The sequence below is a fragment of the Homo sapiens genome, chromosome 22, assembly GCF_000001405.40.
Source record: "Homo sapiens chromosome 22, GRCh38.p14 Primary Assembly".
Taxonomy (NCBI): Eukaryota; Metazoa; Chordata; class Mammalia; order Primates; family Hominidae; genus Homo; species Homo sapiens.
Window position 1 is genome coordinate 45821351 of NC_000022.11, and position 27437 is coordinate 45848787.

General features: G+C 41.0%; 1 protein-coding gene across 2 annotated transcripts in view, besides 1 other annotated feature; it reads left to right on the forward strand.

Moving 5' to 3' along the window:
• ATXN10 (ataxin 10) overlaps nucleotides 1-23957 on the forward strand; it is a 173474-nt gene extending 149517 nt beyond the window's left edge. For both annotated transcript variants that reach the window (NM_013236.4, NM_001167621.2), the window contains 2 exons: nucleotides 21641-21828; nucleotides 22319-23957. In NM_013236.4, the coding sequence (NP_037368.1) occupies nucleotides 21641-21828; nucleotides 22319-22321 (191 nt within the window). In that variant the 3' untranslated portion in view covers nucleotides 22322-23957. The remainder of the gene's footprint in view (nucleotides 1-21640; nucleotides 21829-22318) is intronic.
• Nucleotides 23685-25070: an enhancer, noted in NCBI's record as "VISTA enhancer hs1559". NCBI's record gives its function as "enhancer in: neural tube[13/14] | forebrain[13/14]" and the evidence as "EXISTENCE:transgenic organism evidence [ECO:0001131][PMID:17130149]".

Genomic DNA, 27437 nt, shown 5'->3' on the forward strand with positions numbered 1-27437 from the left:
AAAAAAAAAAAAAAAAACGAACCTAGCACAGTTTCCTCCAGGCATAATTAGGAAGCACCAGGAAATCCTAATGGGTTTTCAAGAAGAAAATGATGATTGTGAAAGACCCCAACCTCCTCTCCCTGCTAGGTTTCTGATGCAGAAAAAGCAAGTCAGGCATCTGAGCTGGGAAGGCACTGCACATCATGGTGACATTTGTGAGTCTATATCCAGGATAAAAATTATTTGTTCAGTTATATGTGTTGAAATAGTCTCTCTCATCCATCTTAGTACCTCATGGTGTCTTATTTCATTGAGGTATAACTTACATATAGTAAACTGCAAGTTTTAAGTATACATCTTGACATTTAGGGGCTGTATTTCTTGGTGCTGTCTACCTGATGCAACCTGTGAACTGCATTTGGCAGATCCCCCTCACACTTCAGGTCTCACTTCAGTCATCCTAGTTTTTTTAAAACTTCTTGTTTTTATTTTGAAATGTAACGTGCATACTGAAAAGTGAAGCCAATATATATGTATACACTTGGCAAATAATTATAAAGCAGACATCCACATACCAACACTCAGGTCGAGAGGCAAAAACACTGCCAGCCTTCCCTGAGGAATCCATCTAGTCCTCCGCTGGCCTGACCAGCACCAGGCCTTCCCTGCTCTTCCCCATCATCAGCTCCAGAGTGTGTCTAAACCATGTCTGGTAGATTGGCCGTCTTTGAAGTTCATATAAACGGAATCATAGCCTGCATTCTTTTGTTTCCTGTCATTCAAAATCATGACTCTGAGATTCACCAAAATTGTGTTTGGTCTATTTTATAGCATTTCATTGCAAGAAATTTTAACATTTTTGCATTCTACTGTTGGTGGATATTTGTCATATTTCCACTTTGGGGCTATTACAGTTATTGTTGTGAGCATCTTGGTACATACAGTGCATGTGTCCTGCTACACATATGTGTGGGTGTTTTTCTAGGCATGGGATTTCTGGGCTTCAGGGCATGTATATCTTTATCTTAGATGATGCCAAACTCTTCAGAGTAGTGGTACCTGTTTTCCATCAGCAGTATATGAAAGCTCCTTTCACTCTGCCTTCTTGCCAACACTTGATGCAGTCAGACCTCGTAATATTTGCCATTCTGAGGAATATAATATGTTGTGATTTTATTTGAATTTCTCCAATTTTTTTTTTTTTTTTTTTTTTTTTGAGATGGAGTCTTGCTCTGTCACCCAGGCTGGAGTGCAGTGGCACGATCTCGGCTCACTGCAACCTCCATCTCCTGGGTTCAAGTGATTCTCCTGCCTGAGCCCCATGAGTAGCTGGGATTACAGGTGCCCGCCACCACACCTGGCTAATTTTTGTAGAGATGGGGTTTCATCATGTTGGTCAGGTTGGTCTTGAACTCCTGACCTCAGGTGATCCGTCTGCCTTGGCCTCCCAAAGTGTTGGGATTACAGATGTGAGCCACGGTGCCCAGCTGAATTTCTCTAATATTAATAAACACAGTTCTGTGATTTTTGGCTATTTGGATTTCTTGTGTCATGAAGAGTTTGTTCAGATTTTTTGCCCATAGTTAGGTGTTTTAAAAACTGATTTTTAAGAACTTTTTTCTATATCCAGGATAAAAATTATTTGTTCAGTTGTATGTGTTGAAATAGTCTTTCCCATCCATCTTTGTTCTTACTTTCCTCATGGTGTCTTATTATTTCATTGAGGTATAACTTAAATAGAGTAAACTGCAAAATTTTTAAGTATACATCTTGACATAAGTACAGATGTATGTACGCATCACCCAGATGGAAATACAGAACATGCCCATCTCCCTAGGCGGCTTCTTGAGTGTCCCGTCTCCCTCACTGCCAATCCCCAGATGTAACTTCTGTTCTGACTTCTATGATGTTTTAATGAATAAAAATTCCCAATTTTAATGTAAAATTTATCAGTCTTTCCTTCTATGTTTAGTGATTTTTGTGTCTCTGAGGTCTGAGGTCATAAAAGTATGCTAAAGGCTTTACAGTTTTGCCTTCTATCTGGATTTGTAATCTATCAGAATTGTAATTATTTATGATGTACAGTAGGGATTCTGTCTTTTTTTAATTTCCCCTGCGATTATGCAGTTGTTTCCGTTTCAGTATTTAAAAACCTTCATTTCACCCTTGGCTCTGCAGGACCGCCTTGTCATAAATCATTGTCCTACAGGCATGATTCTGTTTCCTGTGCTGTATTCTCTGTCCCTGGCCTGATACTATACTCTTGTAATCATCGTGACTTTATGATCTTGGTATCCGGTAGGGCCAATTTTGAATGTTAACCAACTTTTCATATATTATCCTTCTTATATGTTGCTGGATTCAGTCAGTTGCTGTATCATTATGTTCATGGATTTATTCGGCAGGTGTTTATTGAGTAGCTGGCATGTTATGTGCTGCACACTGTTCTAGCTGCCAGGGATACAATGGTTGATCAAAAAAGAGACACTGTGTGCTCCCATGAAGGTTTCAGTATGGTAGGTGGGCACACCCCCTGCTAGGCTTGGGGGCAGGCACTCAGGTCACCTGGGAGACTCTGTGCCCTCAGCATCTTGTGACGTGCCCTTGCTGGGTCTGTCGCTTGTACTTTTTTGTGAGCTCCTTGAGAGCAAAGCACATCATGTTTACTTCTTCGTTTTTTGTTTGTTTGTTTGTTTTGGTAGTCCCTGGCACATGGTGGTACAGTGGGTATGCAGTAAGTTCTGGAGCAGGGACTTACCTTCCTACCTTCCTTTGCCTTCCCCACGCTCTTACCTGCTGAGTGTAGTCAGCCCGTCCTGTTTTCCCTTCCGGCACTCTGGCCACCCTCTTCTAATATCCCACACTGCCCCTGCAGCTCACAGAGACCTGCACATACTGTTCCTCTCACTGGAGTTCTCCCCTTTCTACATTTGGCCAACTCCTACTCACCTTTGAGTTTGATTTAAATATTATTTATTTAAGATAAGTCTTTCATGATCCCAACTCAAATTTAAGGCCCCCTTTTTATTGTTTCACCTTATCCTGTAATTTAACATTGTAGCTTTTATAGTACTTTGTAATTATGTGTTTATTTCTCTGCATCTAACTCTCCTCAAGGCACTAAATTGATATTTAGAGTAAACATAGGCACCATCTCTGCTGTGTCCCCCTTCCATAGTGATTGTCTTTACTTTCCATCCCTTAGTTGAAAATTGGTAAAGGGAAAATGAGGAAACTCTAAGAATCGTGTCATATTTAATGAAATCTTCAAGTGGCATCAGATGCTAGTTGGGAACAATGACTTACAAAGTGCAGTAAACACATCACATATCCATGGGTATATGGTGGCAGCTAGAAAACAAATTTGTATTGATAACTGAATTGATAGAGGTTTTTATCTATGGACCGAGGTGATGTGATCTAGCTTTTTCTGTGATACCCAGAATCTATAACCTGTCTTTGTTGACCTCAAGATAAAGACCTTGTAACAACAACAGTAATAACAGATTTGTGTGGGAGAGGGTTCAGGGAAATTCATGGGTAGGAGGTCCCAGGAATCTCCTAGACAACATTTGTACTGAATCTGATGTAACTGTTTTGGTACGCTGAAGTCCACTGAAGTCTTGCAATGTCCACAAGAAGGCTTGAATGGTAAAGTGGAGTTAACTTCTGTCAATTTCAGCTCTAGCTCAGTAGCAGCTATTCCTCCTCCATCCCCAGTCCTATGGCAGACAGCTGCTGTACACTGTTCCTAGAGCATCTTGCAAGCAGCTTGTGGGAGCCAGGTAGGGTGGGCCAAAAAGACCCTGACATGCAAATATCTGGGGTCAGTGCTCTGATTACTGATTTCAGCTTTTGATCACAGAGGTACAGACAAAGGAGTGGAGACCATTATTGTTGCATCTGCCCCCATTGTTGTAAGTCCTTCCACCTCTGGCTGAAGTGGCTTTCTGGGTATTTAAAAGGCCAGCACCCTTTTTCCCTCTTCCCTTTATTTTTCTTTTGCATCTTTTGGGAACCAGGCATTAAATACTAGGACATTGAAAAATAACTGTATATACAGGGAAAATTAGAAAGTCACCGTAGATTCCCAGGGAATAGCATAGGCTCGGAGAAGACCTGAGAAGATCTTAAATTTACACCTCAGGCTTATCCTTGGCACAGAGACAGCCTGCAACAATCCAGAAATAATAATAATAATGAACAGTAACAAAAGTAGCAAACACTTTGTCTTAGAATCTGAATTCTAGAGTTACCACATTATTAGAGTCAGATGTCCCATTTAAAAAACAATCATAAGGCATACATAAGAAACAGGAAAGTAGGCCCATTCAAGGGGGAAAAAATGAAACAAACAGAAACCATTCTTGGATTCATCTACTATATTTTAAAACAAGGGTCTTACTGAAGATGCTCAAGGAACTAAAGGAACGTGTGGAAAATCAATAAAACAATATATGGACAAGCCCAGGTGCAGTGGCTGACACCAGTAATCCCAGCACCTACCAGGGCAGATGGCTTGAGCTCAGGAGTTTGAGACCAGCCTGGTAACATGGCAAAACCCCATCTCTACAAAAATTAGCCCCAGGCGTGGTGGTGTGCACCTGTAGTCCCAGCTACTTGGGAGGCTGAGGTGGGAGGATGTCTTGAGCCCAGGAGGTGGAGGTTGCAATGAGCTGAGATTGTGCCACTGTGCTGTAGCCTGGGGAACAGAGCCAGGCCCTGTCTCTAAATCAAAACAAAACAAAAAGCCCAATATGGACAAAATGAAATGTCAGCAAAGAGATAGAAGACCTGAAGATAAATCAAAGAGAAATTCTGGAGCTGAAAGTACAATACCTGAAATAAATTTACTAGAAGGATTCGAAGACAGATTTGAGCAGGGAGAAGGAAGCTAGGACAATGGAAAATATTAAGTCCAACAAGCAGAAAGAAAAAAGGTTGTAGAAAAGTGAACAGAGCCTAAGGGATATGTGGAACACCATCAAGCCAACCAACATACGCATTGTGGGAAACAAGGAAAAAGAGAAAAGGGCAGAGAGAATATCTGAAGAAATAAGGACTGAAAATTTTCCACATTTGATGGAAGTCACGAATATATACAACCAGGAAACTCGGTGAGCTCCAAGTTAAGATGAACTCAAGGAGACATATTATAGTCAGAGTTTTGAAAGACAGAGATAAAGAGAATCTTAAAAGCAGCAAGGAAGAAGCAGCCCATCACATGCAAGAGATAATCCATAGGATTACCAGCAGTTTTCTTATTAGAAACTTTGGAGGCCAGAAGGCAGTGGGCCAAAATGTTCAAAGTGCAAAAAGAAAAAACTGTCAACTAAGAATCGTTTGTCTGTCCAAACTGTCCTTCAAACATGAGGGATAAATTAAGGCATTCACAGACGAACAAAAGCTGATGGAGTTTGTTACCACTAGACCTGCCTTGTAAGAAATGCTCAAGGTAATCCTGCAGGATGAAATGAGAAGACAACAGACAGTAACTTGATGCTATATGAAGAAATAAAGATCTCAATAGAGATAAATTCATGAGCAATATACAAGCTAGTTTATAACTTCACATTTTGTTTTCTACATATTTTAAGAGACTAATGTGTCTGAAAGGATTACTAGTTTATTTTTGGGGTACACAGCATATAAGGTTTTAATTTTTTTTATGTTAACCGAAAGGAGTAAACAGAGCTTTAAAGGAGCAGCATTTTTGGATGTTACTGAAGTAAAACTGGCATAAATTAGAATTAGAGTATTATAACTTTCGAATGTTAAATGTAATCCCCATGGTAACCACACACACACACACACACACACACACACACACACACACACACGGCTATAGAATATACACAAAAGGAAATGAAAAAGGAACTTAAACATTTCAGTACAAAAAATAAAAAGAAGACAATAATGTAAGAAATAAGTTATAAGACATATGGGAAACAAATAGCAAAATGACATAAATAAGCCCTTATCGGTAATTATTTAAATGTAAATGGATCAAGCTGTGTAATCAAAAGACAGAGATTAACAGAATGGATAAAAACACTTGATCTAACTGTACTGTCTACAAGAGATTCAGTTTAGATCCAAAGACACAAATAGGTTGAAAATAAGAGGATAGAAAAAGATAGTATAAGGAAGTGGTAAGAGAGAGCAGACGTGACTAATATCAGACAAAATGATTTTAAATCAAATAAAGGTTGCAAGAGACAAAGAAGAACATAATATATTAAAGTTTCAATACAGTAAGAAGATACAACAGATATAAACATTTGCACAGACCGATAACAGGCCAAAATATATGAAGCAAAAACTGAAGGAAGAAATAGTTCTACAGTAATAGTTGGAAACTTCATTACCCTACTCTCAATAATGGATAGAAGAACCAGACAGAAGGTAAGTAAGGAAACAGAGGACTTAATAAACAAACTAGATCTAACAGACATACACAGAACACTCTATCCTACAACAAGAGCATATACATTCTTCTCAAGTGCACAGAAGACATTTTCCAGGATAGAGTGTATATTAGGTAACAAATTAAGTTTCCATAGATTTTTAAAGATATCATACAGAGTATCTTTTCTGACTACAACTGGATAATGTTAGATATCAGAAATAGAACTAAAACTGGACTATTCACAAATTTATGGAAATTAAAAAACATACTGTTAACCAGTAGATCAAAGAAGAAATCACAAGGGAAATTAGAAAATACTTAGAGGTCAGCTGGGTGCAGTGGCTCATACCTGTAATCCCAGCAGTTTGGGAGGCCAAAGTAGGAGGATTGCTGGAGGCCAGGAGTTCAGGACCTGCCTGGGCAACATGGTGAAGCCCCATCTCTATTAAAAACTTTAAAAAAGAAAAAAAAAAGAAGAAAAAAATATTTAGAGACAAATGAAAATGAAAAGACAACATAACAGAACTTATGGGACACAGCAAAAATAATGCTAAGGGGGAAATTTTATAGCTATAAATGCTTACATTAAAAAATAAGAAAGTTCAAAGAACTAGATAAGGACATAGAAAAAGTAAACCCAAAGCTAGCAAAAGGAAGATAATAAATATTAGGGCAGAGATAAAACAAACTAGAGAATAGAAAAATAATAGAGAAAATTATGAAAACAGAAGTTGCTTTTTTAAAGATCAACAAAAGTTGACCAACTTTTAGCTAGGTGGACTAAGGTAAAAAGACTCAAATTATCAGAAATGAAAGTGGGGACATTACTACTGATTCTACAGAAATAAAAAGGGTTGCAAGAGAGCACTGTGAACAATTGTACACCATCAGTTTGGATAATGTAAATGAAATGGACAAATTCCTAGAAACTCAAAACCTATTATAAAATATGGATAGACCTAGTTATAGTAAGTACTATAGTAAGTACTATAAGTTACTAGTTATAGTAAGACAATTAAATCAGCAATGAAAAATCTCACAAAGAAAAGCCCTAAACCTGATGCCTTCACTGGTGAATTCTAGCAAACATTTCAAGGGGAACTAATACCAATCCTTCTCAAACTTTTCCAAAAAAATTGAGGAGAAGAGAACACTTCCTAACTCATTTTATGAAGCCAGCATTTCCCTGGTACAAAAGCTAGACAGAGACACTACAAGAAAACTAAAGACCAACATCCTTTATGAACATGAATTTAACAGCATACTAAAAGAATTACACACCATGACCAAATGGAATTTATTCCTGGAATGCGGGGGTGGTTCAACATACTGAAATTGATCAGTGTAATACACCACATTAATAGAATGAAGGGAAAGAAACACATGATCAATTCAGTTGATGCAGAAAAAGCATTTGACAAAATTCAACATCTCTTCATGATAAAAAACACTCAACAAACTAGGAATATAATGAAACTGCCTCAACATAATAAAAGCCAGGAAAACCCAACAAGTGAAAAATCAACAGCAAACATAACTCCACGATGAAAGACTGAAAGCTTTTTCTCTAAGATCGGGAACAAGGCAAGGACGTCCACTTTCATCACTTTTATTCAATATCTTACTAGAAGTTCTAACCAAACCAATTAAGCATGAAAAAGAAAAGGCATCCAAATTAGAGGAAGAAGTAAAATTATCTTTTCACAGATTATATGATCTATGGGAAACCCTAAAGATTCCATCCCCCTCATACACAAAAACCATTAAAACTCATGTTTTAATGAATTCAGTAAAGTAGAACTATATAAAGTCAACACACAAAAATCAGTTGCATTCTATTTACTAATACTGACGGAATGGAAATTACAAAAGCAATTCCTTTTATAATAGCATCAAAAATAATAAAATACTTAGGAATTAACTTACTCAAGGAGGTGAAAGACTTGTACCATGAAAACTATAAAACATTGCTGAAAGAAATTAAAGGAGACATAAACGGGAACACATCGCATGTTCATGTGTTGAAAAACAATATTGTTAAGATGTCAGTACTGCTCAGAGCAATTACAGATTTAATGCAAGTCATGTCAATATCCCAATGAAATTTTTTGCAGATATAGAAAAACCCATTCCAAACTTCATATGGAATCCCAAGGGACATTGAATAGCCAAAACAATGTATAAGAAGAACAGAGCTGGAAGACTCACACTTCCTGATTTTGAAACTTATAATAAAGCTACAATAATCAAAACAATGTGGTACTGACATGAAGACAGACATCTGGACTAGTGGGACAGAATAGAGAATCCAGAGATAAATCTCCACAAATGTAGTCAAATGATTGCTGAAAAGGATGACAACACCATTCAGTGGAGAAAGCGCAGTCTTTTCAATAGATGGTGCTAAGGAAACTAGATATCCAGGTGCAAAAGAATGAAACTGAACCCTTACTTAACGTCATATACAAAAATTAACTCAAAGTGGATTAAATGTAAGACTCTTAGATGAAAATACAGAGCAGAAGCTTCACATGACATTGGATTTGGCAGTTATTTATTGGATGTGATACCAAAGGCACAGACAGCAAAAGGAAAAATGATAAATTGGACTACATGAAAATTTTAAAATATTTTGCATCATTCAACAGAGTGAAAGAATCATTCAACAGAGTGAAAATGTAATCCACAGAATGGGAGAATATATTTGCAAATTATTTATTTGATAAGGGATAGATATCTAGAATATATAGAGAATTCATAAAACTTAACAATAAAACAACCTCATTCAAAAATGGACAAAAGACTTGAGTACACATTTCTCCAGTAAGATATACAAATGGCCAAGAAGCACATGAAAATATACTCAGCATCACTAATCATGAGGAAAATGCAAATCAAAACCACAATGAGATACCACCTCACATCCATGAGGATAGCCACTATACAAAACAAGAAAAAAAAAAAAAACAAGTCTTGGCATGAATGTGGAGAAATCAGAACTCCCATGCATTACTGATGGGAATGTAAAATGGTGCAGCCATTGTGGAAAACGGTTTGGCAAGTCCCCAAAAAGTTAAAGATAGAATTACTATATATATGATTTAGCAATTCCACTTCTGGGTATATACCCGAAAGAATTGAGAGTAGTGTCTCAAAGAAGTATTTGTACACCATGTTCCTAGCAGCATTATGTGCAGTAGCCAAAAGGTAGAAGCAACCCAGGTGTCCACCAAAGGATGAGTGGATAAACAAAATGTGGCCTCTACATTTACTGAAATATGAGTCAGCTTTAAAAGGAAGGCAGTTCTGACACACACTACAACATGGATGAACCCTGAGGACCTTACACTTAGTGAAATAAGCCAGTCATACCGTGTCAGCTTATTTATAAGAGGTACTTAGAGTAGTCAAAATCACAGAGACAGAAAGTAGAGTGCTTGCCAGTGGTTGAGGGGAGAGAAGAAAGGGAATTACTGTTTAATGGGGACTGAGTTTCAGTTTACAAGACGAGTTGCGGAGATGGATGGTGGTGATAGACACACAACGTTGTGAATGCGTTTAACACTACCAATGTGTACTCTTTAGTATAGTTAGGATGCGAAATTTTATGTTACGTGTACCTTACCACAGTAAAAAAAAAAAATTTTGGAGAAAAATAAATGTAGGCAGCAACTGTACCTCAGACTTTTCCTGTATGTCTCAGATCCTCATCAGGGGCCTGAGCACAAAATAGTTTTCTAATTAATCATTCTTCAGGGTCAAAAAAAAGCAAACAGTTCTGTCTGTTTAACAGTAATATCTGACATTGAGTGCCTCTTTTCATGCCAGGCATTGTGATCTTATTTCATCTTTGCATCCATCCTATGAAACAATATTTTTATCTTCATTTTATAGAGGAGGGAATTTAGGCAAATGGTTTTATAACTGGCTAGGGCCACCAGCTGTTCGGCAGTGGAACAGCAATGCAATTTGAACCTCAACTTTCTGCCCACAAGGCCCAAGAACATAATCACTTTTCTGTACTATCGTTTGACATATTGAGAGATCATTTTGTCTCCCCCTCATTGGCGAAAGGATGTGAAGTCACGTGCCTGATAGAGGAGCGTGGTGGCCTTTAAGCCCACCCAGAGCCTGTGCTGGAGCTCCACTGTACCCATGGCTCTCAGGTGCACTGAGTGTGTTGTGCACATGGCAAACACCCCCTTCCGTCACCTGTACCCACCACCTGTCCAAGTTCATAGGTGGAACAACTGCCTTGGTAAAGTTGTGTAAATTGCCCAAAGCCGTGCGGCTTGTAAAGTGGCAGAGCCAGAATTGAACCCAAGTCTGTATTATTCCAAAATTTTATTCTCACCATTATGGACTCCTGCTCCCTTGTTCCACTCTCCACGCAGCTGCCCACAAGAGCTTCTTAATTTTTCTACTTCAGCTCTTTCGATGAGTTCTCATTGTGTTAGAATGCAGTACAGCAAGCTCCTTACCATAGCCTAAGAATCCCTGAAGGAGCTGGCCTTGACTGACCTCTGCTTCTTTTTATCCACTCTCCCTCACTCATTCTTCCCAGCCATACAAGTTTTTCTCATCAGTGTTCCTCCATGTGGAGGCGCTGTGTGGCCTGCTCCCATCTGCACCCTCCTCCTCAGCTCTCCAGGGGTCTGGCTTCTTTTCATCCTTTGAGTTTCAGCTCTGATGTTAATTCCTCAGAGAGGCCTTCCCTAACTCCCCTCTTTCCCCAAGTTGTCCTCTTGTAATTATGCTCTGTCACCCCTTTCAGACTTTGTTTTTTGGTTTAGGGCCTGCCTCTGCAAGTGCTAGAATGTAAACGCCCCAAGGGCAGGGACTGGACTATCCTGTTAGCTGTTGTCTTACCAGTATTGAGCATTTTGCCTTCGTATTTATTAAATGAATGAATAGATCATGATTAAATTTTTGAGAGACATTCAGATGTAAGATTAACAGTTTGAATTTTTGTTCATATCTAAATCCCTTGCTCCAACGCCAGTCTAAATATCAAGAGGTGTGTTGTTCATAGAAAAGAGGAAAACAGTGTTAAAGTATTAAGTTTCTGTAATTCAATGAATTTTCTCCCCAAAATGAAATATTCAGTACTTCAGAAATTTTTTAGAGAGATACGCGTCAAGGGAGAGTTTTAGAACTAAGTGTCACCAGCATGACCACTTGGCTTTTAAATAGTCTAAAGTGTTATAGTGAATGTTGGAGTTATTTATGTATTATACCTTTCTGCTGAAGGTTGTCCTGACTTTAAATGGATATAGTAGTGCTCTTCCCCTGATGAGGACAAATTAGAATTAGAGATCTCCTTGTTGAAAGAAATCAATCAGACTGCAGGTAACTCTTGAGTCACCTATTACTGTTAGAAGTGAAAGCAGACAGCATGAAATGAGAACCTCTCTCCTGTGCTGACTTTGCAGCATCATAGAGTCCTTGGGAAGCGCACGCATCTGGTATCTGTCCCTGTTCACCCTGCAAGCCCTCCCCACCCTTGACCACCGACTTCCTGGGAGCTGCTGAAGGCGTCGGGGGAGGTGGGGTGAGGAGGCAGGTCAGGATGGCCATGGTAACTAATGCCATTGGAGCAAGTGCTACCAGATGCCCAGACACTGGTGTGTACAGCATAAGAGCGCTCCTTGACTCCTCAGGGCCTGCTGGGTCTTGTCTGTTCTAAATCGCCAGAAGCTCCACCCTGTTCATGTTCTTCATTTAATCCTTTCTAACTTAGAACTATTTTTGATCCTTGGCTGTACTTCATTAATTTTGAAATATCAACAGTGCTAGACGAACACTAATGTCTTATAACTTAGGTGGGTTTACTTTTTCTGCTCCAAATTTTTATTTCACTTTGAATTGTTAGCTTATTAGCTAGTTCTAAAGGTATTTTGCAGAGATAGTTACTCTGACTGGTATCTGCAAGTTTATCACTTGGGATTTCTTTGAAGAGAAAGGGATGTATTTCATGTATCACAAAACCTACCGTTCCTTGTACTGGTTTGTAGGCATAGCTCAGAAACGTGCAGTCATAGCAACCCGGAAGAAGAACTGCTCTGCCCTCCAGAGGTCTCTCTGGATGGACTGGTCGCGAGAGCACACTTAGCAGCGATACGGCATCGCGATCAGGGGAGCGGATGCCAGAGCCTGACTGCCTACTTCCAAATCCACCTTGAACACATCCAGTTGCGGGACCTTGGCCATGTTCGCCTCTGTGTCTAAGTTTTCTCATCAGTAGAATGAGGATAGTAACGAACATCTACCGCATAGAGAGTTTGTGAGGATTGAATGCTTTCACACTTAGAACAGCCCCTGGCACATCCTGTGTCCTGGAATGTGACAACTGATGCTGTTACCTTTATTAGTTTTACTCGTGTTACTATTTTATGAAGGTAAACTGACAATCTCATTTTCAGTCTTGGCTTATGTGAGAGACACTTAATTGTACAAAGCTTTGCTTGCATTGAGAGTGGCAGTGTGTTCCAGGAACAGAAATTCAGTGGGGCCAGCTTATTATCTGGCCACTGATCCCAAAGATCACCAGGTACTTGGTAAACAGCCTCTTTACCTGGCAGGTGAGGCCTGACACTTCCCCGGTTTCTACTGGGTTTCCATTGACTCCCATTCATAAATCCCCTATCGTTAGGACCTCCCCTGCCACCATCTGGGCAGTGAAGCTCTGCCGGTGTGCTACTGGCAGTGTCCCGGGTTGTGTGTGGAGACACTGAGCACTGTTGTTTACTTTAGAAGTTTATTGTCCCCAGAATGCTGCTCCCCCACAACTGTCTCCTGCAGCATGAAGGCTGACATTGTATCGTGGCTGTGTATCCACATGCATTTATTAAATCACACCTCCCTTTCAGCCCAGATCTGACAGAACTCTGGGAGCTACCGCCTCATAAGTAGATCAAATCCAGGCACCAATGGGCAAATATTTTAAACACTCATACTGTAGCCAGGAGCTACAAGGACCAGTAAGATAGGAGTCTGAGCACATGGTGAGCACACATTCTCTGGAGTCAGAGCTCGTGCACCGTGGCCTGAATGTCTGCGGTGTGCATGGGTGTGCCAGGCACTCTGCTAACCATGCTGCATACAGTGGCTCCTTCCGAGTCTCAGATGTGACATTGGAGTGCTGCCCCAAATCCAACTGGAACTACTTCATGGCCCCAAAACCCTTTCGTGTGGTTTAAGTTAGAAGTGGTATTGGTTGTTTCTGACCCTGAAACCTGTGTGTGATGGGGCTGCCAGACTGTGACTGCTTCGTACCACGCTTTGCTTTGAAGTGGTCAGTAAAATGATTCCAGAGCATGTCATGTACAAAATTAGTTTCATTGCCACAGGATCCTTCACCGCCAAAACCCCGTGAATGTGAGGTACCTGTGAGCGCGGCCCTCCATCGGCCACAGAAGCTTTTGGAGTGGGCAGGGCACAGGTCATCTTCCCATGACTTCACTGCCAGATGGACGGGCTCATGGGTCCTGCTTTGCCTGGCGTGGGCTCATGGGTCCTGCTTTGCCTGGCGCGGGCGCTTGAGCTTTCACATCTGGGACTGGTGAGGGATGGAGAGTACACGCCCAGCAAGGCCTGGACAGCGCACTGGTGCCACAGCCCTTCGCTCGGGCCCACGGGGTGCAGTGGAGGAAGTGTGAGCCTTGTACAGAGAGAGGTTTCAGGCTTCAGAGAGGAGGCCTGTGAAGTCAGGAACATCTCCCCTCTCCCTTTGCAATTTATGGAAAGTACATTGTGCCAAGCAAGGACAGTGAATGGGCCTTCGTTTCAGCATCTTTAATAAAGTACTGATTTGGGTTATGCACAGATATAAAATCTCTAGTGGACAGAGGTGTGAAATGTAGTTCTGTCAAACTCAGCAGTGTTTTATGGGGCCTATGTACCACTTCCCTTACGGCCTAGAAGCCGATTAGCAGCCTCAGCTTTCAGTGCAGGGGTGTTGCTGAGATGGCTTTTTCCCTCCGGAAAGACTGAAACTGCTCTTTCTTATAGTGTGTATTAAATGCAAATCTTACTCTATATTCTTCAGATTGTAACCTATAATTTCCAAATCTGACAATTATTTCTCTGCCTTCTTTTAGTATTTTTTTTAACACTTTCAGTATTAGCAATTAGCCATTAATTGGTAAATTGGAGGGTATACATACTCATGATTTTAGCTTTTATTTTTAAATGCTATTAAGGCATAACAGGCTACGAAACATAGAACAGTACATACAGCATTGCATGGAAACCTTTGAAGCACAGATGTTCTGTCGTATTAAAATATAAAAACTCAGAGGGAAATTAGATACCAGATAGACCAACAATTTAGGGAAGGAAGAGGGAGCCAAAATGGGTGGTTTGTGGTGGGTATTGAACACATAGTTTCCAGCGTCATGCAGGGAGACCCTGTGTAGAATCTGCACCATAAATTAGACTTGTACTTTAATTTTCTGAATGAGAAGAGTATGCAGTGGGACCACTGACATAAATGAGAGTTGAGAACAAAAGATCATCATAGCAGATGAAGGTGGAAGTAAAGTGAACTTTAGAAAGCAATGAAAATATCTCTTGACATTCGAGTTTATTCTGAAAAACTTGTGACCCCTTGCAAAAGTAAGGGGATCTTCAGATGTCCTGTCCCAGGACCTCCATCTTGCCTGGCCCCCTCCCTGTCTCCTGCCTCCTGCCTTGCTCTCCAGCACCCTGCGAGCGGGAGCTCTTCTTTTTGGAGGTGGTCCCAACAGGTAGCACAAGTCCCATGAAACTCCAGGAAGCCCAGGGCTCCCTGGGCAGCACTTTGGGAAGTGTCTTTTTTCCTCTCAGTAAGAAAGTTCTTAGAGAACAGGGCCAAGGTCAATGAGGACTCCCCCCTGGGGATGCACTGGGGTGAGATGGGGTGAGGAGGTTGCCTTTTCAGGGCCACACTCTTGGCATGTTTTCTTCTTTGGCTGACAGAAATTGGCATATTTTAAAGTATTTTGGTTTGTGCAATATAACGCATTTTGAGAGCAATTTTTAAACTGAACTACTACTTTGCACTCTAAAAAACTCTACATTTTACCATGGTCCGAGAAGATATTTGTTTAGATGTGACAAGGGATTTGTGAAGCATCTTCATCTAGGAAAACCTTTTTCTAACAGGGCAGATAATTACACAGGTTTGTAGAAGCCTGGGTGGAGGAGGCTTGCCCGTGCTGACCATGCTATGTGCAGGCCCCCTCTGGGAGAGGTTCTAATTGTGCGCCCCTCCCTGCTCCACAGCGTACTTTGGAAAGCCCTGCAGCACACAAATCCCTTGCCTTCATGGGTTTGTTATCTAAAAAGAGTTTTAAAATATATGTCCTGGATGCGAAAACAATGCAGATATTACATATAATATATGTATCTGTTATACAGATATTATAAATAAAGTCCATATATATCAGAACATTATGAAAAGTCTTTTAACACATTTAAATCATTTTAATTTACATAATGCATATTTTTTCAGTGCCAGTACTTTTTAAGGTTGGTTTGTTTATTTACTTATTTTTGAGACAGAGTCTTGCTCTGTCGCCCAGGCTGCAGTGCAGTGGCGCAATCTCGGCTCACTGCAGCCTCTGCCTCCCGGGTTTAAGCGATTTCTCCTGCCTCAGCCTCCCGAGTAGCTGGGACTGCAGGCGGCTCACCAGCACGCCCAGCTGATTTTTTTGTATATTTAGTAGAGATGGGGTTTTACCATGTTGGCCAGGCTGGTCTCATACTCCTGACCTCGTGATCCGCCTGCCTCAGCCTCCCAAAGTGTTGGGATTACAGGCGTGAGCCACTATGCCCGGCCTATTTATTTATTAATTCAACAAATATCCATTAGTGCTTCCCATGTTCTAGGCCGGAAGTTGGCACACCTTTTCTGTGAAGGGCCACATAGTAAATATTTTGGCTTTGTAGGCCTTGCTGTCTCTTGGCAGCTCCTCCACCCTGCCCTTGCAGTGTGACAGCAGCCGCCAACACAGGCAAGTGATGGGCATGGCTGTGTGCCGTAGAACCTTGTTTACGGATACGGACATTTGAATTTCAAATTTTCATGTGCCAGAAATCAGTATTCTTTAGATTTTTTTCCAATCATCTAAATATATTAAAACTGTTTTTAGTTTGCTGTCATAAAAAGCACAGGCCATCATTTGCTGACCCCTGTTCTTAGCAGTCTTCTAAACACCGACAGAGCAGTGACCAGAACAGAGTTCCTGTCGCCCTGGAGTCTACATTTAATGATGTAGAGGACTTTAAGTAGCACTGATTTTGATAGCTGGAAGAATAGTTTAGCTTGATGCAATCTGTCTCATCAGACAATTCCAGTTTTAACATTTCAGCTTACCTGACTGTACTTTAAAAGTGAGCTTGGCACATCAATCTGCTGGTTATTAATACCCTTACTGTGGATTGTTTTTCTGTATCATGCTGTTTCCCAGCCTTTGGTCTTCTCCCCTGCTAATATCTTATCACCTTGCTGGTACAAGGCCACCCAGTTTAGTGTTAGGCCCTGTGTTGAACCAGCTGAGGCCCAGTGCAGTGCTGCCTCGGCCATTGAGCAGTACAAGGTGCTTTACTGACGCTGTGGTCTTGGTGGCCTGGGTCAAGACCCCAGAGCCCCCTGCTGAAGAGCTGGCCAGCACTATCAAGTCCCGCTCTAGTGCTGATTGCAGGGTTCTTTCAAGGCAGTTTTGCAACAAACAGGCTCATGCCTTCTATTTGTAGTAGCTATGGAAACGTTAGAAGCTCTCTTTCTAAAGCTAAGCATACAATAAAGCACTTCAGATGTTGGTGGGATTAGAGACTTTAGAAGATGTTTAATTTTCTCCCCTACTCTTTCTTTCTCTCTGTCCCTTTAGAGAGGGAACAAGAGGGCAATGTGAATATTAACTGAGACTTGCTTTAATCTCTCTCGTGACACTTCAGACTGTCTAGGTCTGCACAGGCTGCACTCTAACAAGGAGTGGCATGCATATTCATGACCCAGGGCTGTGGACCAGACACGCTTCCTAGGGCTATATTTTACAGTGTTTTTATTTTCTACTCAAATTTCTTGAAAGAAACAACTATGAAAAATTGATTTTGTGATTATGATTAAGTCTAGAACCCAAGACAGCAGTGCTAAAATGTTCTCACTGGAAATAGGAACAGATTAGAGGAGGTTTGTGTAGTATTTGATTTACAGATAGACAACACAAACCCCAAAATGTTGGTGCTCACTTAGAGGGGGCAGTGGAGCAAACTTCACATCTGCCTAAGAAGAATGCATAAGGGTTCTACCTTCGTGAAGTCCTCCTTAAACCGGAAGGAAAGATGAATTTCACTTAAAATATGTAAGAGTATTAAATGTATATTTAAATGAAAAGTGTGGAGGTTTACTATTATTGGCTTGGTTGTTATTTCTGATTCTCAAGGCCGTGAAAGGGAGTTGACTCCAGAGTGGTCTTGTGGCCTTATTTCTTGTCAGCCTTCCACACTTCCTTGACTTACATCTTTTTGCACTTTGGATACTAATTTTGGAAGAAGACAAAAATGCCTTTTCTGCTTTGGGCTTCAGTGTTTCTTCTATTAGGTTGTCAGGTCCGTGGCTGCGCCAAGAACCTGCTCCGTGTGAAATACTTGACTATCATATTTTGTTCCTGAAGTAGTATGCCTGAAGCCTGGGGCTGCAGGGGGCTGAGCAGGACCCATCACCCCAGCTGCAACCAGTGTCCCTGTTTGAGGGAGACACCTGGCAGCCCTTCATCTCCGAGAGGGCTTTTCTTCAGTCTCATTCTTTCTGTGCTCCACTTGCCGTATATATAAAGCGGGCATTGTGTAAGTTTGCATTCTACAGAAATTAGCTACCAAACACTTGAAGGGTGAGTTGCTATTAAAATACCGTGGTAACAGTATTTTCACAAAACGTGATAGAAATGTTGCCCTCCAACCCCAAGATGAACATGATGAAAATCCACTCTTTGATCCCATCCACATGGGAATTCTGGTGTTTTGTTGTCATGGACCTTTTATTTATGCAGTCCAGCCTCCTTGCCTGGGTTGCATTTATATCGGTTTACTTTCATCTAATCTCTCAAACCCTAAAAAGCCCTGGGTCGGGAAACCACACCAACAACAGGAGGCAAAAACACAGCCTGTGGGTCGCTGCAGTGCCGCCATGGCCCCACCCACGTGGTGAATGAGAGATAGCATGCTTACATTTGTTCATTTAGCAAACATTTCCCAGCACCACGCTAGGGACAGAGCACAGAGAAGTGAGTACTATTGGTCTTGTTGTGAGGAGTTCACAGTGCATTAGAGTATACAGAAATACAAACAAACAGTCATAGCTTACATAATTTCAATAAGGCCAGACACGGTGGCTGTAGTCCCAGCTATTCGGGAGGCTGAGGCAAGAGGATCACTTGAGCCTAGGCTTTCAAGACACAATTTCAATAAATATGTATTGAACATCCACTTTGTGCTGGGAACGAGACTCGGTGCTAGGATATCGAAGTCAATTAGATGGGGCTCCTGCCCTCGAGGAACTCACAGACTCATAAGCAGATGAGTACAATGCAGTGTGATGAGAACTGTTAAAAAAGAGAGAGAGAATGCATTGGAAACAGACAGCAGGTGCACCTAATCTAAGCAGGTGCCGAGGGGTAGCTAAGACAGGGAAGGCTTCCGGGAGACTGTGATACTTGCTGAGTCTCGAAGGCTAAGTGTGCCCCATGAGAAAGGAAGCAGCAGTGAGGGAAGCACATCCCAGGTCAGGGATTCGTGTGTGCAGAGACAGAGGGGAGGCCAGCGTTGCAACATTGTCAGAGGCTGAGAGATGAGGGCGCCTGGCAGGAGAGGTGGGTAGGGGCCGTCTGGCAGGGTCTCACGTGCCCTGGAGTGGAGCAGTTTGATAGTCCCTTTCCTCCAGAGACATCCTGCGTTTGCTGCTGGCAGTGACGGTGCTGGCACCAGACTCTTCAGTTTCTGAGCCAACCACCCCTCTGATCTCAGGAGCTCTGAATGCATTATTGGGAATTTCAGCTTTCCTACTTTAATTATATTTAAGTGAATAACCAGGACGTTTCAGAAAGGAGTGTTATGCTTCTTTCATTTACCATTAGAGAGTTATACTCATGAACAAAAATTCCCCAGTCTTACATTTCTTGCTCCTTGAGTCAGTTCTTTTCATAATCACTGACTCCTCCTTTTCCTACAAAAGGTGAGAAAATGAGTTTGTGTATCGACAGTGACATCCTGGGTGTGAAACTCAAATAATTCATTGTTGAGAAGTTGACGGATATGTTGGAAGTGCTTGATACCGGGGCTCGTTATCTTTATTCTCTATACTGGCACAAAGTGGGGGTTCAGTGATCATGGAAAAGAGGCGGATATTCAAATTTAGGTTTAATGCCTTTGAATATTTGAATAGATTCTGTCTCCAGAAAGGAAATGCAGCCATATAAAGGACCTGGACTTTGTCACGAGAGAATGACAGATAAATGACACAATAAGAACTTTTTCCCCACCATAGACAGATGACTGATTATAGAACCAGCATTAGCTGGGCACTGACAGTCCTTTTCTCTGCCATCTGGAAAAGGTCAGTCATTTATACCCACCAGTGGTTTTGATGCTAAACCTCCAAAGACCAGCAGGTCATTCACTCAGCACATGTTGGTTGGTCCTTTGCTTTGTGCCAGGCTCCATGTTGAGGCCCAAGGCCCCAGGAACACACGACCACAGCTGTGGAGGAGCTGGGAGACACAGGCCAGGAGCTTAAGTGCTGTGAGTAGGGAAGCAGAGAGGACCCTGGGCCAGCTCACCCGGTGTGTATTGGAGGGACTAAGATGGAGCAACCTTTTTAAAGCCCCAAAAACACTTCCTGAGCATACAGCTGACTGTGTTTAGTACGTTTCAGTTGTCTGACTTAATTGGACAGTCATTTTTACTATTTTCTTTTGAGGCTGTTGAATTAGGGAGAGAAACTGTTGGACTCATTTTCTTTCCCAAATACTACAGGAAAGAGCACCAGCTTTGTGAATGTTGAAGTTTTCTCTGTGTTCTCATGCCATGTTGGGGGAGCTAGAAATGTCTCAGAACTGGTCCACAGCGTTGCACAGGGGTGTTCAGGACAAGATCAGAAGACTTGGCTCTTTAGCTCTAGGGTTTGATACCTTGTGGGGACACTGACTCCCTGGTTCTGGCATTGGCAGTGCCCGAGTGGGAAGCATCTGATAATCATCAGGGGACAGGACTTGTTTGTCTTGCTGCCTTTATCTGCTCGTGGGCAGGGAGGTCTCTTTCTTTGGATAGGTATTTGTTCTACCCTAGGTTCTTTGTTGTTCTCCCTGGATCAGGGTGCCAGGCCCAGTAGGGACACAGCCTCTCTTGGCAGTCTCTTACATATGTCCCTGGATCCAACCACTGAAGACTGGTCCCTGCAGTAGTTTTTGTACAGTCCTTTATAGAACTACATATAATAGCTTAATGTTTGCATGAGGTTTACATGGCTCTTGGTGATTAAATCAAATGCCCTACTCAGTGATGTGGCGATGCTATCCCAGTCTTCGTAGGTTGTCTCTGGTCTCCTGCCAAGCGGAACGTGCCAGGTGAACACTTGGGCACAGTGAGCCCCGATGCTTTCAGGAGCCTGAGTATTCAAACTAAACACAGCAAATCCTTCAAAGCCCTTCCAGCTTCATCTTTAGAATACTGAATGCGGGAAATTCCACAGTGACTCCTAGGAAACAATTCTTATTTCTAACTGGGCTCCCATTAAAACAAGATGATTTTCCTGATTCTAACCTGACGTCTTTGTGACTGATTCTTTAGTGCTCTTCTTATTCTTTCCCTAGTGAGTCAGTAACATAATTATTCAACAAAGGAATGTGTGTGTGTGCACGCACACACGTTTGCCTGTGTGTGTGTTCTTGGGTTCATAAACTTCAGTTTGAGCTACTCTAAGTCTTTGCTTCCTTGTTCATTCATTCAACAAATACTGAGTAAATCTCTCTGGGTGCCCGTGGCTGGACATCACACACACATGCTGGATGTACATGTGCATATGCCTGCGTTGCCTCTTTTTAATGTGTTTGCACTTGAGATGCATATTCAGAGAATGCATCCTCAAGAAAACTTGTGGATTGATACTGGATGTTCCGTGTTTCTGTGCTCCTCTACTCCTTTTCTGATAATTCTTATGTGAAGTTATCAAACAGGAAAGTACGTTGTCACATTCCTTCACTCTGGCTCCAGTTCTGACCCAGTGGGTGATATATGCCATCCGAAACCTTACCGAAGACAACAGCCAAAACCAAGATTTGATTGCAAAGATGGAGGAACAGGGGCTGGCAGATGCATCCCTACTTAAAAAAGTGGGTTTTGAAGTTGAAAAGAAAGGCGAAAAGCTGATCCTGAAATCTACTAGAGACACCCCTAAGCCAGTAAGTACCCTCGAGGGAACTGTCCTTCCCTTTGGTTTGTAGAAAGCTGTTTCCACTTCCCCATTGCTTCAAGCACGAGGCTCTTTGTAAGAATATGGATGGGAGAATTGTGCCCTCTATAGTGGTTTACCGAGGAAAGCCCTAAAGATAGCTGCAAACGGTTTTTTTGTTCCGGCTTTATGCTGCCATTTTCTTAAAAGAGGGACAATTTCAAACTCATTCTGGGTGAGAAATACAAAAGGCATATCAAAAGTTATACATGGTCTAAAAGTAAGTTACTCATAGGAATTAGATTTTCTTTAAAAGATAGTTAATGTTCACTATAGTTTAAAAAACAGAACTCCTTGAATAATATTGCATGAATTGTTTTAGGTTTCTCTAAGTTATTTGTCACCACTGACCAAAGTTCTGGGTTTTTTCCCCTTTTGTCTGATGAATCTTGTGAACAGATTTGCTACATCTGCAATTTTGTTTCTTTCTTCTTCTTTAGTGAATGAACTACATCCAAATACCTGAATTTTTGGAATCTGTTTCATGGATTTTTCATCTTCTACCGTATGTGAAATTGCAAGTGTTTGAAGATTTATAAGTACAAATTTGGGAACATACAAATCTTTTAGGTAGTAGAGTTTAACGTGTATAAGCTAAAAGTGAAAGTAACTGAGTGTTCTCTTGTTTCTTTGCATTAATGTAACTGTGTGGTTTGCCTTTGTCCCCCTGGATAGAACGTGCATTTAAAGAATATATTGTACTTACTGTGACAGCAGATAATAAACCAGTCTCTTGGAGGGCACAACCCTTATTTGACAAAACTTGGATGTTGGCTTGACTGTGTTTGTCCCTTCAGATGGCAAGTCAGCATCATTCTTTATATTCCTCTTCTCATTGGGTTTTCTGAACTCTGGCAGGCGGTTGAAGTAGTTTCTCACTGTGATTAATTCTAGCAATCTCTTTTCACCCCTCTGCCTTTCCAAAACATTGACAAGACTCATTTCCAGTTAATTAATTCGAGAACCCTCCCTCTTCATTTTGGGTACTGGGCTGTCTTGTCACTGAGCCCTATCCCTTTGGAATGTGGCAGGGAGTGAGGTTGGTGAGAGAACATGTGGGCACTTAACTCTTCATGTTCCAGTTCATCCCAGAAGTAGACATCCCAGGACCCATTCTGTGTCAAGGTGAATGCCTGTGTCCTCCCCAGCTTCATGCCTCTGTCATGGGGGAAGGAATAGCTTATGTTCTGCTCTGGTGCAGTGCCGTAGATTAAAGGTACATTTCTATCTTCTTTGATTTAAAAAGCACCAGTCTCATAAAGGTGCCACTCAGTTTTAGCCATGTCTTCACTGAAATTGCAAAAGTACTTTTAGGGAGCAGGAGTTTATTTGACATCTAGTTATCTGTCTGTCTGTTCATCTATCTATCTGTCTGCTGTATGAGAGGTAGGACTGGATTAAATGACCACTGAACTCACTGAATCCAGATCATTCATATCATCAACAAAAGCTCTAGGGGGAGGTCACGTTGTGAATGCTTAAAACATATTATTTTCTTCAACAACCATATCGCTAAACTAATATATCCAGAGATTTTGCACAATTCGTGTTGAACCTTCCAAAACAAAAATAAAGACCTGTCCAAAAGTTTTGACAAAAATACTGATTGCTCCCAAATAAAGTGCTTCTAAGCTTTGTGTAGACATAGTTTAACTGATTTGTAAAAATAGCTTAAGCATGTTGAGAATGAAGTAAAAGTTTTCCCATGTGCTGTCTAATGTACTCTGTGTAACTCTGAAGACACATCAGCTTCTAGGATTGCAGCAATCTATGAATAACATTTTTTCTCTCATTTATGACTTTCCATCAGTAAAGAAGCCATTGCAGAATTTAAAATTACACAAAGGAGTCATTCTCTCCTGGGACATAAAGAGTTAAAGCTCTGTCCTCTAAATAGAAGCCTGGCCAAAGGGAGAAAACAGTGGGAGTCCCTTTTCCCTTTTAACAAGTTTGCAATAGACACTTCTTTTTTTCCTGTCTCAATGGATGTGTGCACACCAGTGGAATCGCACAAACTTGTCGGTATGAGCTATATAATAACAAACACAAATAAATAAAAGGGAGCCTTGTGAGAATACAGAATGGGGTAATGGTTATGTGTTTTCTAAGTAGGAAGTGTGGGGCTTGCATAGTGAAAACATGCTGATGACTGCATTGTGGCTGCCTTTGATTCCCTCGGATGGATTAATTCTTGAGCACAACAGCTTCCCTGTCCTCTACCGTGGAGGACTCGGAGCTCCTGAGAACCTTGTTTTACATGCTATAGAGGATTAATCATCACCTCAATCAGTCATTTAGAAGGAAGAAAAAAGCAGGCCAGCCTTACAAAATTTGTAAAGAGACAGAATGGTCACAGCAAGTTTTGTGACCATATTATTGCTTTCAAGAGCGAGCTGACAAAGCTTTTAGCTGGCTTCACTTTAAAAGATAGAGGGGAAGGCTTCTCAGCTTGATACTGAGTCCAAGTATTTGCAGAGTGATTATTTTTTAATACCTTAACAATGGATGTGAAGATTTCAAAAATACTTATTTTTGCAATCTTAAAACAGTCGGCTCTCTGTATCCACAGATTGAACCAACTGGGGATTGAAAATACTCAGGAAAAATAAAATAGTAGTACAACAACAAAAAATAATACAAATTTTAAAATACAAGGTAACAACTATTTCCATAGCATTTACATTTTATTAGGTGTTACAAGTAATCTGGAGATGATTTAAAGTATGTGGGAGAATGCGGGTAGTTTATATGCAAATACTGTGAAGGCTCATATCAGAGACTTGAGCATCCATAGATTTTGGCATCCAAGCGGGGGTTCCTGAAACCAATACTCCACAGATTTCAAGGGCCAACTTACTAAACTGTTAGGATTTGTTAATATTTGTTCATTGTCCTCCTGCCCCAGCCGTGTAAGACATGCCTGCTTCCTCTTCTGCCATGATCCTAAGTTTCCTGAGGCCTCCCGAGCCATCCTTCCTGTATAGCCTGCAGAGCCATGAGCCAATTAAACCTCTTTTCTTTATAAATTATCTAGTCTCAAGGAGTTCTGTGTAGCAATATGAGAACGCACTAATACAACGTCCTGATTTTGTGGTTCTGTTCTTGTTTTTGTTTTTAGGAGCTAACATTGAGATGCATTTTTTTGTTGTTGTTCAGTAACTTCACAATCTAAGCATAGGGCTTTGGAAACTGCTAAAACATGTCATTTGCAAAATAGGATATAGAAAAAATGATTGAGATGATTTGGGCTACCAATTAATACGTCTTTAAATCAAATTTTTTTGTGTGCATCTTACATCCATTCTCTCTTGAAGTCATTCATGTGCTGCCCTGATAACACATGGCATTTAAGTGTTATTTAAATGATTTTTTTTTTTCGAGATGGAGTCTTGCTCTGTCACCCAAGCTGGAGTGCAGTGGCACAATCTCAGTTCACTGCAACCTCTGCTTCCCAGGTTCAAGCAGTTCTCCTGCCTCAGCCTCCTGAGTAGCTGGGATTATAATTTTTGTATTTTTAGTACAGATGGGGTTTCACCATGTTGCCAGGCTGGTCTCAAACTCCTAACCTCATGATCCGCCCTCCTTGGCCTCCCAAAATGCTGGGATTACAAGCATGAGCCACTGCGCCTGGTCTTAAAATGATTTTTTTACTGTCCTTTAGTTTCTGTCCTTGAATGAATAAACAAAGATGTTAGAACAAAAATTCCAGTCTTTGCAGGAAGAAAACTTTTTAAAAAATCTTTCATCATCAGTAAGTTCTACACATAAGTGCTTCACATGTGAAGCAGTAGAATTGAGGCGGAATTTTTAAATGCAGAAAAGTTGAGGAAGAACCTTAACATTTAAGATCTAATATAAAACCAAGCCTGTGGGGTGGGGGGGAACCAAAAAAACAACAACAAAAAAACACCCTCTCGGTGCTGTCCAAGGTTCTGATCGTTTCAGCCATATTGGCTTGTCCACATAAAATCAATTAAAAACCTTGTTTTCAAACTTCAGATTTTTTTTCTTGTGTTTGTATGACACAATATCTGTTTCCTCTTTCCTACACACTTTATATATTTATTTATATTTTGAGGTCAAATATTATGTGATACTTTGCAATATGAATTTCATATACCATCCACAATATAAATGAATTTGTAAGCTTTTGCTGTAAACATAGTGGTTATGGTATTAACTCATCCATCAGACTTTCCTCATCTCAACCAGAGACATTCCTGTCAGTGGAAATTAATTTTCACAGTTTTCCATAATTATTTATTCTTGCTTAAATTAGAAACATTATATTAAATGTTTCTTTTTGTTTAAACAACGTCATATACATTATTCATTTACTCACAAATTTCTATGCTTATTTCACATCATTGAAGCAAGGGCTTAGGCAATTTTTATCATACGGATTTAATTTTTCCACCACTTTGTAAAGTGTATTGGCCAAGAATATCAGCTCTGAAGCTAGAATTCCTGGGTTTCAGTCCCTGCTCTTTCTCCTGCTTAACCCATGGGCAGGTTCTATAAGTTCTGGGTGTCCCCATTTTCTCATTGTCAGCCCCACTGAAAATGCGGCTCATAATACCACCTGCCTGATGAGAGCACATGAGAGCACAAGCAAGTGGTTGTGTGTGAAGTGCTTAGTCCTGGTATTAATCCCATTATATGAATGAGGAAGTTGAGTCACAGAGAAGTTATGCCCAAGGACACACAGCAGTTAATGCTTAGTGATTAATTGCTATAGTTAATTGGAAGAGAATGAGTGAGAAAAAAATAGATAGCTTCTTTTCCCAGAATCGTGGAAAATTAATATAGCAGAAATGCCTGGACTATGGCTTTGGACGTTGTGTTAGTGCATTCTCGCATTGCTATACAGAACTCCCTGAGACTGGGTAATTTATAAAGAAAAGAGGTTTAATTGGCTCACGGCTCTGCAGGCTATACAGGAAGTATGGCTGGGGAGGCCTCAGGAAACTTAGGATCATGGCAGAAGGGGAAGCAGGCACGTCTTACATGGCTGGAGCAGGAGGAAGAGAGTGAGGGTGGTGGAGAAGTGCTACACACTTTTAACCAGATGTTGTGAGAACTCACTATCATGATAACAGCAAGGGTGAAATCCACCCACATGATCCAGTCACCTCCTATCAGGACATTGGGGATTACAGTTGAACATGAAAATTGGGCAGGGACACAAATCCAAACCATATCAGATGTAGAGCAAGGAGAGTGCTATGGGAAGAACATACGCTTGCAATTAGAAAAACTCAAGTTCAAATCTCAACTTCACTTGCCAGCTGTGTGGCCTTGAGCAAGTTACTTAACCACTCTGAGCCTACGTTTCCCCCTCGAGGACTGTACCATGCACTAGGGATACAACAGTGAACAAGACAGACATGGCCTCTGCTCTCATAAGGATTATCTTCTGGTGAGGGTGACAGAAAGTTATTAATAAGTGAACAAATATGTAAAACGAGAGCATTGCATATTGTAGTAAGTGCCATGAAGAAAATAGGCAAGTTGATGGTAACTGGGGTGTTCTTTTTGAGTAAAAGCCAGAAGAAGGTT